Raw genomic sequence first — 15,870 nt, 5'->3', positions numbered from 1 at the left:
GGAACACCTAGCCTGGTCTATAGATGAACAAGAAATAAACTTCTGTTATGTTTGAACATTACAGATTTGGTTCTGTTATAGCAAGTTAGCTTACCCTGACTAAACTGTTGCCTGTCTCTTGGAAGGTGTGCCCTCCTTCCCTGAAAGTGACTTTTTCATACATGTAATTTATATTTTAATCCATATTCTCCGAAGCATATCCACATCTATTCAACTGTTTCCATGTTTTCCACCAACAGAAACCTCATATAAATAAATATATATGAAGGTTTATTGCATTATTCAAGGTTCTTTAAAATTTTATTGAAGTATAGCATATATACCGAAATGTGCACAAAAATATACACTATCTATATACACATTATAAATAACACATATATCTGCAGAAATTTACAATGCTATCTACATCTGGGGCATTCCCTTCCTTTCTACTTTTTCTCATTTGCTATTTTTTCAGCCTGGTGACTGAGGAAGTCAAGAGAATAAGAGTTGTAGAAGGACATACTGAGTGTGTCACAGGCCCTTCCAAAAAGGCTGAACTCCAGCCTAGGAAACCAAAACTGGTCCTTTAAGATTGCTCAGATGCTGCTTAATTCCTGTGCCACAGTCCTACAGTGTCGCCTTTTTCCATTGTTCTTTTTTTTTTTTTATTTTTTTTATTTAAGAAAGAGGATATATATCAGGTAGGGGAGAATGTAGGGTGCAGAGCTACCTCGTCTCCTCTCCCAGAGGAATTCAAGGCTCCAGGGCTGCTGCTGGCCCATGTGGCAGATTTGGTAAATTGGAAAAACCACTTCCAAAAAAAGCACTTTTTTTGCAAGTCATGTTACTTCCACCTGTCAGGTATTTGTTGCAATATAACTATACTAGTTTCATTAGAATTAGAACACTTTCCTGCCACTTGCTGGAGAGTGGTTGCAACATCTAAGTCCACGTGTCTGTGATGCGACTGGTGTCTGTGGATGAGGCACTGTTCTACCTTAACCAACCTACACTGCTACAGTTGGCCTTCAGGTTGCAGAGCAACTTGTAGTTTTGATTTTTTTCAATGCATCAGGGATATTTTTAAAAATATTTTAATTGAAGTATAACATACATACAGAATAAAAAGGCAGAGGTACCTAAAAATAATAAAACAACAATAAAAACAAAACCAAGAAATCAGCAGTTACACAGGAAGAATTGTAACAAGCTCAGGATTTTTAAAATGCATAAATGATGCAAGCAATACCACAAGCAAAAACCAACACCAAAAATTTGCAAGGACCTAGAGGAATAGGTCAAAGTGAAGCCTCCGCTTAAGCTGGGTTATATGCAAGTGACTTCTGCAAAGAATGTAAAATCCTATGATATCCTTGTAGATAAACTGGAGAAATATGAGCAGATAAGTGGATCAGTACATTGCTGAAATTCTTACCTAATGGGTGTTGAGTAAAAGATTGGTCAATTTGCATCCTACTGAAGAGAAGTTTCTGAGGCCTCCCACAGGGCCTCAGTACTTGGACCTGTTTCATTCAGTATGGGAGGTTTATGTATGAAATTTTGGAGTTACTGGAAAGAAGAAGATAGCTAACATATCTTAGATAAATCCACAACCAACTCAAAAGGTTAATAAATTTTACCCAAGAAAACTTAATAGGAACAAATAAAGGTCCTGCAAAATAGGTTAACCAAAACACCAACCAAAAATAAGCTCGAAGGACTCAAACAGTATCATGCAGTTGCCAGAAAATCTAGTTCAATATTTCGGTGTTAAATAGAAGAACAGAAAAGTATTAATGAGAATAAAGGAGGAGACAGTTCTGCTACCCATAAATGTTCAGTTCTGGGTTGCATACTTTAAGAATGATCAAGAAAATGAGAGCACATTGGGAGAAAAGGGTCCTGGATGGTGAATACAGTTGGCGTTAGGATATATAATGGTAATCAATGAAATAATGGGGGACAGAAAAGAGAATATGCTGGAAGTCATCCTAATAGGTGGGGTTAAATTTTGGCCCTATCAACCTAAAATAATCAAAAAGGTCAGAATCTAATTTAAACAGATAATTCAAGCGCAGAGTTTGAGGACAGCCCACCCAGGAGCACCAGCTCCAAAGGAATGGAGTCAGCGTGCTGAAGGAAGGAAGCTCAAGGTTTCATTTCCATAGGCAGAGACAGGAGTTTTTGGCAGGATTGCAACATTTTTCATACAAGGTTGGCACATAGTTACAGCAATTTGGTTACAGGCAGTGTTTCTCTTGGGAAAGGTACACTGAACACCTTTTACAGAGGGTGTAGTCATGGGTTTTCTGTCATCTGATCTAAGTGAAGCAGGACAACAAAGGAGAAGTTAATCTATAACAAAGGTCATTAATTAAGAAGGCAGGTGGTTTTTGTACCTGATGTAGTTTTATTCTCTCTAGTCATTGTACAGAACAGGAAGAATAATCAGGGAAATAAAAAGTTGTTAGCATATGTGACTCAGATCAACTACATCTCTCTCAAGGCTTAGTGTTTTTTGTGGGTTCCAGGAGCTTTTAAATACTTATTTTCATAGCCCCGAGGGTTAATAAGACAACTGAGGAGAAGAAGCAGAGATGCAACACGACAGGCAGAGCTGATCAAAGATGGAAATGAACTCATTCCTGACACTCACACTAGAGGCTGCTGAAAGATCATCTGGCATTCAGGGTTTTCTCAGCTTTGAGATTTTATAACTATATAGTTAGAGATCTGCCCAGCTATAAAATGTATTACTCTATCTTTGAAGCACACACAAATGACAAATCTTCAGAACTACTGTTAAAACTTCTGGGGACACAAAACCACAAATCATTCAAAGAGTTTGCTTTATTGGCTGTTCTCAAATGGGCAAGCAGCTGTGTGTGTGTGTTTTTGGTGTGAAAGCGCCTAGAAAATGTAGTTTATTTTGGCATATTTTTTCTAGTGTTAAAGCAATCAGCATGGATACGTAAATTGTTGATAGTGAAAGACATTTCATTAGTTTAGTATTGTACACTGTTACACCGCTATAGGAAAAATTCTGTCTCAACTGCCAGATTCACGTGTCCCGCCCTAAAAAAGCCAAAAGCCCTAAAAATACATGTGTATATGTATATATATACACATAGATACACACACACACACTATATATGTGTGTGTGTGTGTATATATATATATATATATCTCAAGTAATTATACACTTCTAAATATAGATACTGGAAGTCACTAAAGTAAAAAAAAAAAAAGGTCTAATATATAAGAGTTATTCAGATTTGTATTCGCGTAGAACAAGCCAGTTCCTTTCATATTAACTATGCACACCACCTCCTTTCAGAAGAGATCTGGGAATGATAAAAACCAGTCGGAAGACGGTCTTAACCGTTTAGAAATCCAGTAACTTCCGATTTAAATGGTGCTTTTAGGAGAAGGAAAACAACGCCAGATTAAAGCCTGCCTTTAACCATAAGAGTCCCTGGAATCAAACCAAAAGTGCTGCCAAGAAGCCACAGGTGTTTATCACATGGACAGGAAAAAATATGATTTTGAAGGGCACAGTGACAGTCCTTCTCTGTCTCCACTAATGGGTTATAAGATTAAAGGTTAACAGCAGTACAAATACTATAATTATATAATGCTGGGTTTATTTTTCGTTCGGGTTTACAAAAAAACCTTTTTGTCCGCGTGCTTCTGAGTGCTTGGAAGGTCTGCCAGCCACTGCCTTTCTTGTCACCAGAGCTCTCAGCAGGTTTACAGATGGACGTGCCCAAGACTGCCATCTGGTGGATATGATAGAAATTGAAATATATATATATATATGGTTTTTTTTTTTCTTGCAGGATTGGGGTTGGTAAGTAAATAAAACTAGTTGTCTAAGAAGGTATACATTTAAAATATACTGAGGAGGGGGGTTCACTCATCACAGCAATAAGAAATATAAAATAACAAGGAATTAATTTAAGAACGGTGTAGATCATATGGAGAAAATTACAAAACTGTACTGGGGACATTAAAAACACTTGTATAAATAGAAAGATGTAGCATCTTCCTGGTGGAACTCACCTTGGCTAAAGATACCAATGACCCCTACATTAATCTACACATACAACAATTCAATCAACACATTAATGAGATTTTTATTTGGCAGGGATATCTTGGCCAAGTTATTGAAAAATTCATCTGGAAAAATAAACACATTCAATTTTTGTAAATGTAGAATAATAAGGGGCATTTTCCCTATCAGATAATAAAATGTATAGTAAAACTATGATAATTAAGATGACATGGTACTGACACACAACACAAAACGATAAAATAGAATGCTTATAAAAATACAAGCATATACATGAATATGTCATAAAGGACAACTTCAAATAATGAGAAAAGATTGGCTTATGTAACAGCTGGTATAAAGGGATAATGGAAAAATCTATAGGAAAATGTTATATTAGATTTTTACCTCAGAAATAAGTTCCAGTTGTATTAAAGTACAAATATTCAAAAGGCCAATGTCTTAAAATATATGTAAATATTTACTTAGGATATAAAAAATTGTCTTTGTATGCAACTGAAGGTTGATGAAACTGTTAAAGAAAATTCTGAAAATTTTGAATGTAAAAGTATGACACTTGTTGAAACATATCAAATTTAACACAAAAGCTCTTTGTAGTTTACTGTATGTAAATTTTCAATTCTTTTAAAGTAAAATAAAACAAAATAAATCCTATTTGATTTAAAAGTGTATATGAAGGGTAAAAGGGAATATTTTTGACCAAGGAGAGCTCTCTTATACTCTTCAGCTCTGAGCATCTTAGCCCTCTCTCTAGTACCGCTCCAATCATAGTGAGTAGAAAGCCCTTATTCTGCCTGTAGGAAAAGCTGGCATCGAAACAAAAAGTTATTGTGTAAGAAAAAGCTCAGAAGTTGCATGATGTGATTTTTTTGGGGGGGAAATCCCTATGAGGTTGAGATTGTGTTTTTTTCAAAAATTAGGTCATTTCAGTATGGCTAGATGTCCTTTGGTCTTAGTCCAATCTGTGAATATCTTTCCTTAAAAACAACAACAACAAACCATACACAGTATTACAGTATTGAAAGGCAAATGGCGAACTCAGGAAAATAATCCATGACATAGGTAACAGAATAATGGTTAAAATCCTACATGTATAAAGAGCTCTCACAAATCAAGAAAAATTATAAATATGTAAACAGAATATCCTTTAATGTTAAGAAAAAATGCTGCCAATTAACATGTGTGAGCAGGCTTACAATAAAAGAATAAGCAAATATGAGAAAAACATTTTCACTCACTAGTAATCAAATAATTGGGAATTAAATCAAGAAAATGTAGGTTACAATATTTTACCCAGCAGCTTGGCAATGTGCAACACTGGTAAGAAAGTGAAAAACATAGCTACTCTTGTATACTATTAAGATTGTAAATGTGTACCCTCTTCCTGAAAGGCAATTTAGGACACTGAATTTTGTTTCTGTATTTTATTTAACTCAAGATTTTATGAAAAATTCAAACATATGGAAAATTAGAGAAAAATACAACAATTTTACCTATTGCCCAGATTTCACATTTTGACATCTTTACCTTTTTTAAGGAGAAAATAAAAAGCTCCTTTTCCCAATATCTTTAAAAAAGTAACCACTGTTCTAAAGTTAATGTGTATTATTTTCATGTGTGTTTTATATGTACATACTACTATCCATAAATTGTACCTATCATATTTCATCAACTCTAAGATTCCATTATTTTACGTACCATTCTTTTATATGTTAAGAAAAAATGCTGCCAATTAAACTACGAAATAATGTTTTGTTAACATTTAAGATTATTTTCTGGCCAGGCGTGGTGGCTCACGCCTGTAATCCCAGCACTTTGGGAGGCCGAGGTGGGTGGATCACAAGGTCAGGAGATCGAGACCATCTTGGCTAACACTGTGAAACCCCGTCTCTACTAAAAATACAAAAAATTAGCCGGGCGTGGTGGCAGGTGCCTGTACTCCCAGCTACTCGGAAGGCTGGGGCAGGAGAATGGCGTGAACCTGGGAGGCGGAGCTCGCAGTGAGCTGAGATCGCGCCACTGCTCTCCAGCCTGGACGAGAGTGCGAGACTCCGTCTCAAAAAAAAAAAAAAAAAAAGATTATTTTCTAATACTTATTATAACAGGTTTTTAGGACAGATCTTTTTTTAATCTTACATATGCTATTATTTCTGTGTTATATGCCAAATCATAATATAATCATTTTGAAGACATTTTATGTTTTGAGACAGGGTCTTGCTCTGTCATCCAAGCTGGAGTGCAGTGACATGATCTCAGCTCACTGAAGCCTCTGCCTCCTGGATTCAAGCGATTCTCCTGCCTCAGCCTCCCAGGTAGCTGGGATTACAGGTGCACACCACCACGCCTGGCTAATTTTTGTATTTTTAGTAGAGATGGGGTTTCACCATGCTGGCCAGGCTGGTCTCGAACTCTTGACCTCAAGTGATCTCTCCAGGTGGCCCTCCCATAGTGCCGGGATTACAGGTGTGAGCCACCGAGCCTGGCCTTGAAGACATTTTAAACAGCACTTAAATATTAACACATGTATTCCCGACACAGTACAAAACCCAATTGTGAATTGAGATATGACCAAGCTGGTGCAACTATGCCATGATGGCTGCCTTAGTCAAAGACAATTGTTAAGATGCTTCCTGGCCGGGCACGGTGGCTCACACCTGTAATCCCAGCACTTTGGGAGGCCAAGGGGGGCGGATCACCTGAGGTCGGGAGTTCGAGACCAGCCTGGCCAACATGGAGAAACCCCCACCCTACTGAAAATACAAAATCAGCCGGGCGTGGTGACGCATTCCTGTAATCCCAGCTACTTGGGACGCTGAGGCAGGAGAATCACTTGAACCCGGGAGGCGGAAGTTGCAGTGAGCCAAGATCGCGCCATTGCACTGCAGCCTGGGCGACAAGAGTGAAACTCCGTCTCAAAAAAAAAAAAAATAAAAATAAAGATGCTTCCCAATTTCAAAGAAATTAAAATATGAAGTGTTTTGGAATTAATTTTGGAGACAAATTTACATACAAGACATCCCCTTATAACTTGCTTTCTCTCAGCATCATGTTTTCAAAGTATTAAGAGACAGCTCACTGCGTAAGGAAGCCAACAGCACCTGGCTGCTGCTGGAGCTCGGGACTCTCTTAGCTTAGCGCTCCCTCCATTTTACTGAGCCACCCCAGAAAACGCTGTTTCATGCTAATGGGTACTAGTAGGCTAAGGAGTTATTCCTTCTTGGGAACATCTGCCTTAAATCAGGAAAATTGTCTTTTCAAAGGCCCAGGAATTCACATATCATCTGGGACCAGGGTGAAGCACTTGCTTTGGGGACAAAATTTAAGGAATGGCAAGTAATCAAGATAAATTTTTTTTTAAATTTTAGATATTTTAATGCAACATTAAAAAAGTCAAAACTAATGCAAAATGACGAACATAATATAAACATTTTAAATAAGACAGAATCTACTCTCTGCTGAAAAAAAGAAAAAGGGAAAAAAATAATCATTACAGAGTTTTCCATTTGCCTTAGGCTCCCACATGACTTGGCATGGTATAGTTACTAATCCTGTTTTACAGGGGGAGGAAAGGGAGTGATAGGTTAAAATGAGTGAGCAACATGGTCCCAGAGTACAATTAAAAATGTAAATGTACAACAGAAACACACAAAATAATTATAGGAAGGGCGAACAATTTTCAATATTATATCCCCAAATGGATGCAAGCTCTTTATATTAGAATGTGGATTATTAGTTGCATTTTATTAGAAGGAACTAGATTTAGGCCATGTGCGGTGGCTCATGTCTGTACTCCCAGTACTTTGGGAGGCCGAGGCAGGAGGATTGCTTGAGGACAGGAGTTCGATGCTGCAGTGCGCTATGGTGCCACTACACTCCAGCCTGGGCAACAGAGTGAGACCTTGTCTTGAAAATGAAAAATAAAAGGAACTAAATTTAAATATGGTGAAGACAATGTATACCTGCTAGATGTCAGCACTTAAGAGGCTATAGTAATCTAAATGATGTGATATTTCCACAGGGTTAGACAAAAAAAAAAAACAAAAACAAAAACAAAAAAACAATAGAGCAGAAGAAACTAGAAATGGACCACACATATTTGGGGAATGGGAATCTGACAGGGGTGGCATGGTGTTGGCACAATTAGCTAGCTGGATGGAAAATAAAGATTCCTTAGTTCACATACTATGTAACAAGAAATTCAAGAATGATTAAAAACCTAAATATATGTGCTTGGGAGGTAGACTTCTAAAATGGCTGGAAGGTAACATTAGAGATCCTTCTGTAGTTCACAAGCATGATGATTGGGTTTTCACACTTACATGAGATGTGCCTCCCCTCAGCCTTGTTACTACATTATCCACCTGATATGAAAATGAAAATATATAAATTAAAAAAATTAGAGACTATATGAACTTGGGATGAGGATGATTTCCTAAACAAGAAAAACATACAGCAAAAAAATGACAAATAGCAAGACTGCATAAACAAAGAAAAAAAGAAAAACAGTCTGAGAGGTTTTGCAGCTCGCATAACAAAGGATTGGTATCTAGACTATATAGAAAAAGACAAATCAATTAGAAAAAGACAAACCCAATGGAAAAATGGACAAGTGGTGTGAGCATTCAATTCAGAAAAGAGGAAACTCAAATGGCCAATATATATAGGAAAGATGTTTTTCTCACATGTAATCAGAAATGCAAATTATATACTATTTCATGCTTATCCAACCGGATTTTTTTTTTTTTTTTTTTTTTTGTATTAGAGACAGGGTCTCATTCTGTTACCCAGGCTGGCATGCAGTGATCCATTTGTAGCTCACTGCAGACTTGAACTCCTGGGCTTAAGGGATCCTCCTGCTTCAGCCTCCAAGTAGCTAGGACTACAGGTACACGCCACCACGTCCAGCCAATTTTCTGTTTTGTTTGTTTTCCTCCTCTCTCTCTCCCTCTCCCTCCTCTCCCCTCCTTTTTTCAGTTAGGATTTTTAGTGAAATAATTTCAGTTTACATTAAGGCTTTTGATTGTACATGTAAAATATATTATTACAACCATTTAAAATACATTTTAAAGTTATTGGATTTAATTAACTCTTGGAGTATAGGATCTTTAGGAGCCTACAGAACTTTCATGAAGACTTCGCATTTTAAAATTAGTTACAGTCCGAAGTAAACTAGACTTAAGAATGTTTATGTAGCTCAAGCTCCCCCTAAAATGTTTTTTTTTTTCCTTTTTTTGAGACAGATTCTCGCTCTGTCGCCCAGGCTGGAGTGCAGTGGCACGATTTTGGCTCACTGCAACCTCCGCCTCCCAGGTTCAAGAGATTTTCCTGTCTCAGCCTCCTGAGTAGCTAGGCCTATAGGCACCCGCCACCAGGCTCAGCTAATTTTTCTATTTTTAGTAGAGACGGGGTTTCACCAGGTTGGCCAGGCCGGTCTCTAACTCCTGACCTCAGGTGATCCACCCACCTCGGCCTCCCAAACTGCTGGGATTACAGGCGTGAGGCACTGTGCCCAGCAGAACCCAGTAACTTTCAAGAGTATACTTCAGTAGAACCAAAGTGCTATACCAATTATAAGCAGTCTTAATTACAATTTTAATAGCAAATATTAAATATTTAAAATAAGCTTTATACTATATAATTATTATTCATAGGCAAAATCTCATGAAAATAAACCCCATGGTACTCTATATCATGTCACTGTGGAATTAATTGTTAAGATAAATTGCATTTCAGGCTGGGTGCGGTGGGTCACGCCTGGAATCCCAGCACTTCAGGAGGCCAAGGCGGGCGGATCACCCAAGGTCAGGAGTTCAAGACTAGCCTGGCCAACATGGTGAAACTCCATCTCTACTAAAAATACAAAAAAATTAGCTGGGCATGGTGGTGGACACCTGTAATCCCAGCTACTCATGAGGCTGAGGCAGAAGAATCGCTTGAACCCGGGAGGTGGAGGTTGCAGTGAGCCGAGATCGTGCCATTGCACTCCAGCCTGGGCAACAAACATGAAACTCCATCTCAAATAATAATAAATAATAAATTGCATTTCATAACTTCAAGACTTAGGAATGAAGCAAAACCACCTCTTCATAATCAGTGCCCAAAAAAGTAAGTGTAAACGACTCAGGAGAGGGAAAGAAGGTATCAGACCCACCATTAGGGTAACTCCTGGGTGGTACTGGTCCTCTTCATCTTAAATGCATTATAGGTGAATGTTATATGGAAAGAATACATTTGTTGCACAGATTTAATCATTAAAAAAAATCACTGTTGCCAATATTATAGACTAGGTCTACTAGTTAAAAGAAGTAAAGCCCAGTCTTTCATTCTACCTTTCCATAAAAGGTATGGCTCTTTTGTGTCCCACTGGAGTTGTGGATACTTACAAGATAGCAGAAATACTGACTTCCTAAGTGCCCCTCACCTCTGAATTAGAAGAGCATATCTGCCAGTTACATCTGAGCACAAAACAGTGTACTAGTAAGTGGTGTTTGCAGGTAAAATAAAACTGAAACAGGAAATAAGGGGGAGAAAATACCACAGCCAGAAAAGCCAGCAGGAAGTGAGAAATGGCGGTGATGCTGCCTGAAAAGCAATGTATTCTCTATTAGTAGCTACACCTATTTACTTCTAGACCATAATGTAACATACACGAATCATCAAAACAACAGGCAAAAACAAACACTTGTTTAGCATTTTCTTTAGGGTTTACAAAATAACTCCCAAAGTTGAACAGAAAAAAACTTAAAAGCAATTTAGCATAAAAACGACAGTGCAAATTGTTATAATGCCCATTATGAACTAAAAGCAAGTAACTTCATTTCAGTGCATTTTCTAGTACAGAATTTAAAAAGTAACTTCAGAATTGCTTTGAAATTAAATCATTGCTTGAATTCATCTTAACAATTATGTTAACATTTGACTATTTTACATATATAATGGATTTTTTGCACAACTAGGAATTGTCTAATATGTGAAAAACATCACACTTTGCTATTTTTCACTAAATACTATTTAGCTTCTCAAAACAAAATGTGTTCCACAAGAAATCTTATCACGTTTTCCCTTAATACTTAAACCAGATGAACTTCAAAACACAAATGAAGGCAATTTGGAAGAGGAAATGTCAGTGTGAGATGTCATTTAAAAAATATAACCTTAAATTCAAGACAAGGAAGAATAATATTTGGTCAGCAAAAGATATTTGATGGACATGTTCCAGTTAATTTCAAGTATTGAAGCTGGATAAAGACTTGGGCACCATATATTCCTCTGGTTTGCGTATTTTCCAAGGTTTCAGAAAATATATCAGGCAGTTTGAAAAGTAAACTAATGAGGCTGTCAATTCCTGGCTCAAATATACGGCTAATATGATTATAGAAACATTTTTCCCCGACTAATATTATTTCTCCTGTTATTAAAAACCATTTTAAAGCCTGGGTAGAAAGAAGAATCACAACTAGCAAGACAGCGCCATTATTTTCATATAGGAAGACCAGTTCATTACAACTTTTTTTTTTTTTTTTTTTTTTTTTGAGACGGAGTCTCCCTCTGTCGCCCAGGCTGTAGTGCAGTGGCGCGATCTCGGCTCACTGCAATCTCCACCTCCCAGGTTCAAGCGATTCTCCTGCCTCAAACTCCCGAGTAGCTAGGACTACAGGCACGCAGCACCACACCAAGTTAATTTTTTTATTTTTATTTTTTAAGTAGAGACAGGTTTCACCATTTTAGCCAGGCTGGTCTCAAACTGTTGACCTCAAGTGATCTGCCCGCCTTGGCCTGCCAAAGTGCTGGGATTACAGGCGTGAGCCACTGCGCCTGGCCTTCATTATAATTTTTTTTCAATGACAATGCAACTCCCAGTGGATTTCTACTTTTAGCATTAAGAAATTATGACTCTTGGTGGTAAATTCTACTCAGGTTAATAAACTAACGGTGAAGCAGCTTGGAAGCATTTGTTGCTTAGATTGTTTATTCCTTCACAATGTTATTTTAAAATTTGAGTTTTTTTTAATATAAAAGAGACATATATTTAAAATTTGAGATGGAGTCTCGCTGTTGCCCAGGCTGCTGTGCAGTGGCTGGATCATAGCTCACTGCAGCCTTGAACTCCTGAACTCAAGCAATCCTCCTGCCTCAGTTTCCCAACTAGCTGGGACTATAGGCATGTGACACCATGCTAGAGTACTTAGAATTTTTTTGTGTGTAGAAACCAGGTCTTGCTATGTTGTCCAGGCGGGTCTTGAACTCCTGGCCTCAAGCAATCCTCCTGCTTTATTACAGGCATAAGCTACCACATTCAGCTAAGCAGTCTTTTTTTTTTTTTTTTTTTTTGAGATGGAATTTTGCTTTTGTTGCCCAGGCTGGAGTGCAATGGCACGATCTCAGCTCACTGCAACCTCCGTCACCTGGGTTCAAGCAATTATCCTGGCTCAGCCTCCCGAGTAGCTGGGATTACGGGCATGCGCCACCATGCCTGGCTAATTTTGTATTTTTAGTAAAGACAGGGTTTCTCCATGTTGGTCAGGCTGGTCTCAAACTCCCGATCTCAGGTGATCTGCCTGCCTCGGCCTCCCAAAGTGCTGGGATTACAGGCATGAATCACTGTGCCTACCCTTAACAAAAAACTTTAATCATTGCAGAATAACGGATCAATATTTAGAAGAACTGCATAATTCAGTGAACCAGTATTTTCCAAATGACTAATTCATGATGTGACAAAATCATGCATAGCCAGAAGGTCCATTCAAAATGCAAGACAGACCCAGTGGATTTTAACATAACAAACTAAGAAAAGTCCTCTAATAAACTTTCCGATTTCACATTGCAACCAATCTTCAAGAAACTATCAGTTGTCAAGTTTTGATATCCACAGTTATCTGAAGTGACTAAAATATTCCTGTTTTCCAACTACCTATCTGTGTGAGGCCAGGTTTCTTCATAAACTTCAACCATCGGGCCATACCACACTTCAACAGACTGAACGCAAAAGCACAAACAAGAATTCAGTTCAACATTAAAGGGCTCACAAAAATGAAAAATGGTCCTTTTTACACTGAATTTTTGTATCCTAACTTATAAGACAATTATTTTTCATAAAATGGTTTATATATTAACATGTAATTGTTTTGTTAACAAATTAAAACAGTATGTATAATTTCTCAGCTTTAATTTCTAATATAGTAAATATCGATAGTATCCACAAAAGCAAAAGTTCACTGGAGTATACAATTTGTAAGAGTATAAGTGGGTCCTCAGACCAAAATACTTGAGAATAGCCAGGCTAGGAAATTCAGATGAGTCAACACTGAATATGGGTTTTTCTTTTACTAACTCATACATTATTTCTGTTTCAAGCACCAGTAACCCCCACCCTGCCCCCTGCCGGAAAAGTTTTTTTTTTTCTTTTTTTTTTTTTTTGAGACGGAGTCTCGCTCTGTCGCCAGGCTGGAGTGCAGTGGCGCGATCTTAGCTCACTGCAACCTCCGCCTCCTGGGTTCAAGCAATTCTTCTGCCTCAGCCTCCCAAGCAGCTGGGATTACAGGCAAGCACCACCATGCCCAGCTAATCTTTGTATTTTTAGTAGAGGCAGGGTTTCACCGTGTTGGCCAGGATGGTCACGATCTCTTGACCTCGTGATCCACCCGCCTTGGCCTCCCAAAGTGCTGGGATTACAGGTGTGAGCCAATGCACCCGGCCAAAGGCAGGTTTTTTTAAAAGGAGTATAAATATTTCTAGAGTACAGAAGGGGTTAATATTGTCCTGTACAGTTTGGTTAATTCCTCTTTGGAATTAAATTTTCAGAAATATGCCAACCATATAAGAAGTTTAAAATAACATTAAAAACTGAATCATACCAAATAGTAATATGTCACACTGTTTTTATCAATTCTTTATTTAGGTAACAAGTTGGTTATGTTCACTGCATTGTATGAAACATCACAATATCATACTGGGAAGTACTATCAGTACAGGGTTGGATCAGAGTGGACAGTTTGAACGATAAACCATTTTGCATTCTTCATTCCCTATCTTTTAACAACCCCCCAAACCCAGTAAAGGGACAAACAGCTTTTCACATCATCATGTAAAGCACTTTAACTTACAAGGCTAAAATCTAAAGAATAAATAAAATATATTGTGGCAATAATTCCTTTTAGACCAAAAATCAGGTGCACAATAAATCAAATGATCAGGAAAGCTGTCTGTATTTAAATGTGTGGCTCTCCAGAAACAGCTTCAGGAAAACGTTACAGAAAATACCATGAATTCCATTTCACAAAGGACCAGATGATGACTCATTTTAACTACACACAAGGGCAATTACATCCTGCTGAAACACAATTTAAACATACAGGAAAATGTTTACAAAGCATCCACAACATGTAAACCATGTACAAATGGATACATTCATTACTTCTCCTAACCCAGAAACTTCTTTCAGATAAATACTTTACTCTTCATGTTCAGCATTAATTGAATTTAATACATGCAAAACTCAGAAGAATTCAAGGTTACTGTAAAAATAGAATTAAACTAATAAATCTTCAAGTACCTTATGTGACAATCACTCTGTACCGTGCCCAATGTTATAAAATGAAAAGTTACTGAACCCATGAAAATATCTCTGTAGTATTTCCTTAGATCTAAAATAGATAATTTTAAATGTATTTATAGTAATTTCAATGTGATATTCTGAGCTTTTAAAATAACATAAATGATTAAAAATACCAAATTACACAAAACTCGTATCTTAAAAGCTGAAAAAATTAAAACTATAGAAACCCACATGTAAAACAAAAATCACAATTTACATTATAAAGGCAAATCTCATCTTTAAAAAATTTCCAACAGTGAGATGTCAAAGCAAATTATAAATAGCCATAAATTAATCCATTTGGTTTCAAAAGATTTTCTAGTGAGAGTTGAAGGATGCAGTAGATACATGCATAAAATTTGTAAGGGTTTATAATATTATTCCCAAATACACTTTATCTTGAAGCAAGGCAACATTACAATTTGGACATTATTGGAGAACCCAGTTTGGTAATACAGGTAAAATTGGAAAAAAATTAAATAACAATCAATAATAAATACATATCCTATAGAAATTGCTCAAATGAAATTCCAAGCCACAGAGCTGCAAAAGGCTTCCAACTTGGTGAACTGAAAAAAGGAACATATCATACAATTCTTTACTCTTACATGCTTACATGTTGTGTGTTTTGTTTAAAGAAAAAAAACATAATGTATTTTCAGAGTATAGCTAACTATATTTCCCATGCACCTCAGGCACATTGTTGATTTGTGGTGAAATAACTCCACTGGTTTCTAGGGCCGAAAGTTCAATACAGATGTAACGAGTATGCCTGAGGTTGGCAAAAAATACTGTAGTACAGGCAATGCTACAAGTGGCAACTGTCAGAAAACACAAATATGAACAAATGATGGGAAATGCTAATGATTTTCTGCTCATATCACAAAACGTTGGGAATCCGCAAGAATATTTTCCCCTTGTATTGAAGAAAATTGTGATTAAAAGTTTTTTCCCCCAATTTTCAGAATCAAAAGCATTTTAGAAGGTTTTTAAGGCTACCATGGGTCTTCTAGATCTCCAGCACCCTACAGGAAGAGAAAAGGAAGAATATTATTATTTACCTATGCCACTTCCAGATTGGATTGAATTTCAAAAGAAAACAAAATTGATGAACAAATTACCTTCCTTTCTTTGTCTGAAAAGGGTACTTTTACAGAGAGATGTTGTGTATTGCATATTGTGTGTGTACACGTGTATCTAATATGGATAGATAACTGGGTTG

General features: G+C 37.1%; 1 protein-coding gene and 1 pseudogene across 3 annotated transcripts in view, besides 2 other annotated features; one reads left to right on the top strand and one right to left on the bottom strand.

The window, feature by feature from the left end:
• Nucleotides 1,061–15,870, bottom strand: part of PPM1B (protein phosphatase, Mg2+/Mn2+ dependent 1B) — a 78,054-nt gene continuing 63,244 nt past the window's right edge. For 2 of the 3 annotated variants that reach the window (NM_177968.4, XM_047444836.1), the window contains exon 6: nt 13,343–15,673. In NM_177968.4, coding sequence (NP_808907.1) covers nt 15,644–15,673 — 30 coding nt within the window. In that variant the 3' untranslated portion in view covers nt 13,343–15,643. Of the gene's footprint in view, nt 3,762–13,342; nt 15,674–15,870 lie in introns of those variants that run through there. The other variant, XM_011532936.4, reaches the window with a different exon arrangement.
• LOC124906174 (uncharacterized) lies at nt 8,328–8,421 on the top strand (annotated as a pseudogene).
• Nucleotides 13,074–13,573: an enhancer, noted in NCBI's record as "H3K27ac hESC enhancer chr2:44461555-44462054 (GRCh37/hg19 assembly coordinates)". NCBI's record gives its function as "activates a minimal SCP1, AML or CMV promoter by ChIP-STARR-seq in primed H9 embryonic stem cells {active_cell/tissue: H9 hESC(primed)}" and the evidence as "EXISTENCE:reporter gene assay evidence [ECO:0000049][PMID:30033119]".
• Nucleotides 13,574–14,075: an enhancer, noted in NCBI's record as "H3K27ac hESC enhancer chr2:44461053-44461554 (GRCh37/hg19 assembly coordinates)". NCBI's record gives its function as "activates a minimal SCP1, AML or CMV promoter by ChIP-STARR-seq in primed H9 embryonic stem cells {active_cell/tissue: H9 hESC(primed)}" and the evidence as "EXISTENCE:reporter gene assay evidence [ECO:0000049][PMID:30033119]".

The sequence above is a fragment of the Homo sapiens genome, chromosome 2 (assembly GCF_000001405.40).
Source record: "Homo sapiens chromosome 2, GRCh38.p14 Primary Assembly".
Taxonomy (NCBI): domain Eukaryota; kingdom Metazoa; phylum Chordata; class Mammalia; order Primates; family Hominidae; genus Homo; species Homo sapiens.
The sequence above is the reverse complement of the archived record's forward strand: the minus strand, read 5'-3'. Positions and strand labels throughout refer to the sequence as shown.